Here is a 2,923-nt window from a genome sequence, read left to right on the forward strand (position 1 = left end):
AAGCCGGGAGACTTCTGAGAAGCAGGAGAAGCAAGGAACACTTCTTACACTCCCAGGCAACTTCCCAAATAGAAAAAGAACCCTGCCTGAGGTAGAGAAAGTAACATTGCTGCCTTTACAAAGACTGGTTTGGGGTAGGTAAGAATAGGCAGTTTTGCCAGAGCACTCTCATGTAAAGCAAATCAGCCTCTTAGAGAGAAAATAAGGACCTTGTTCATTTCGGAACCCTCCGTGCTGAGCACACAGGAAGTATGAGCTGAATAAGTATAAGTTCAGTGAATGAACAAGTCAGATGAAAGAACCAAATCACCAAAATTATGTGTAAGACAGGCAAGAGGAAAGTGACACGGCTGTTCTTCTTTTTGATTAATGCACCTGTCAGAGCAGAACAGACGATGACTAAGATGATGCTGGAGTGTAACATGAAGCCGAGAAAACAGGAATAGCAGAGACAGTGAGCAGCAGTGATGCAACCAGGGTTGCTGGTGAGCTGCTGCTCTGCTTCCCTCCTTGTCTCTGCAGCAACATTCCAGGTACCATTTCATTGCTACCTGCAAAGTCATTTAACCCTTGGAGTCTGGAACATTATATTAGCTTGATTTCTCTCCTACTTTTTTGTCTTCTTGTGTCTTTTTTGGGTTGCCTTTTTTTTTTCTTTCATAGCCTGTATACAGGCAAACCAAAGCTCCTCAATTCCCAATGCATACTTTTCTTTGATGTCCACACCTTTACCGAAAAGAACCCTCTTGGCTGAGCTTCCTGTGGACATGTCATTCTATTAACCAAACACCCCTACAGAGGTCTCTTGACACCATCTCAAACTCCGCATGTATACAACTGAAATTCTAATCTCCAATCCACCTGTCCCTCAAAATTACTTTCCTATTTCTACAAATGATAACCCTATACTCAAGGCACCAGATTCAACACCATTTTTTATAAATCCATCTCATTTTCTCTATCTTAGAAACTGACAATTCTTAGCCAACTTAACTTTATTCTTTCTGCTTGTATTCATTTTTTCTTCATAACTGATACTCCTTTAGATGGGCACTGTCCAATACCAGAGACACATGTGAATACCGGGCACTTAAAATGCATCAGGTTAGGCTAAGGAATTGGATTTTTTATTTCATTTTAATTAACTTAGACATAAAAAATCAAAAGTTTTTGATTTTTAATAATTTTATATCAACTACTTACTGAAATGATAATGTTACAGATTTGTTGTAGCAAATATAACACATAATTAAAATTAATTTTACCTGTTTCTTCTTAGTTTCTTTATGTAGCTGTGAAAAATAATTGTTGTATGTGTAGTTTATATTTTGATTAGGCAGCATTGGTTTAGACCATATCAAGGATAAACAAAATGGCATTCACTGATTTTGAATACCTAATGTGTATCAAATTGCAGGCTAGACATTCTGTAACTTGAATCATATGATCTTCAAATTATTTCTAACAAATCAGTAACATTTTTCACCAGTTTTACACATGAAAATCTGAAAAGAACAAGGGGAGAAAAGAGATTGCACAATGTTAAAGGTGAATAAGCATAGAGTAAGCCTTCACATTCAGGTCTACCAGCCTGATCCAGGGTTTTTCCACTAGATCTAGCTGTCCATCACTGCTAAGAGCTTTGGGAAAGCACAAAGGGCTGCACAGGCTCTAAAGGAGACTGTCACTTCACTCTGTGGTTCATGGAGCCCCAGTTTTGTGTAATATGGTTTGGCTGGCCAGCCTGCAGCAGCTGCTTTGGCTTCTATGTTCATGATACATCCCATGACACTCTGGAGTCTCATGATACTCCCATGCCTGCATGATCTGATCCAGCTGTAAAAACCCAGGGCTGTGTACCACCTGGGCTAGGGGAAGTGACTCAACACTGGATCACAGATGCATGCCCAGGACTCTGGCGGAGGCAGCACTGTCTGATTCTTTCTCAATGTGGTCAGGCACGGCTGCTTTCTGGTTTCATTCATCTTCCACCTTGGCATAAACAGGTTGCGGGGGTTGATGGGATTCTCCTGACTTAGGAACTGCTTCCTTTGTACCTTCAGCTACGAATAAAGGCAGGTGAAATCCCTTTATGACCCATCTCAAAAAGAATGCAATATGTTTGTCCTTGGGGAGATGATGTTAAAATATCTCCAGGAATGTCACTTTCAGTCTGCAAGTCCAGGCCAGTCTGACAAGTCTGTGGAGTTACACAGAAGGACTGCCTTTTGGAAAATGCACCTCACCAGGTTCTCATGGGTTATGTTAAATTTTTCCATCTAAAGTGAATGCTTTCTGAGTTTTTTCATCTGATTATTCAATTAAAATTCAAGGAGCCCAGGTTATCATTTTCAGCTAATACTTTAACAAGACTGCTATGAAAGTAAAGTCTGGTAGAAATCGGATTTTACATAGTGATAATAAATAACAAAAAGAAATATATCTATAATGACCAGCATTTACATTTCTCATAAACACTTAAAAGTGTTTTGTACTACTTATTTTCTTTGATCTGCACAATCATCCCGTATTATGCATATGATTATTATCCTCATTTTAAAGAAAAGAAAACAATGTCATTGAACAATTTGCCCAAAGTCTTACTTTTCATATGATCCAACTTGTTTGGTGTTTTATCAGTTAATTATTTTGCTTTGGGTGTCATTTCTTTTTCTAATTCAAAACAAAATAATCTTCCTACATTTTTACTCTTCATTCACTATAACTACATTTTTCAAGCATTTAGCAAGCGCCTTTTTTCTTTTCATGAAACCCATTCCTGTACAACTACACATCACATACCTGGTGACTCTGTATTTCAAAGTTTCTATGAAATACAATCTCTATGCTATTGACTCCAAATGTATACACCCAGCACTGGACTCTTCACTGAAAACCAGACTGAAAAATGCATGGGCCTGCT

At 38.5% G+C, this 2,923-nt stretch overlaps 1 annotated feature.

The window, feature by feature from the left end:
- Positions 1,455-2,654: an enhancer, noted in NCBI's record as "P300/CBP strongly-dependent group 1 enhancer chr14:87599502-87600701 (GRCh37/hg19 assembly coordinates)". NCBI's record gives its function as "activates an origin of replication core promoter dependent on BRD2, BRD4, P300/CBP, MED14 and CDK7 cofactors, with strong dependence on P300/CBP, by STARR-seq in HCT116 cells {active_cell/tissue: HCT116}" and the evidence as "EXISTENCE:reporter gene assay evidence [ECO:0000049][PMID:35650434]".

Source organism: Homo sapiens, chromosome 14, assembly GCF_000001405.40.
Source record: "Homo sapiens chromosome 14, GRCh38.p14 Primary Assembly".
Lineage (NCBI taxonomy): Eukaryota > Metazoa > Chordata > Mammalia > Primates > Hominidae > Homo > Homo sapiens.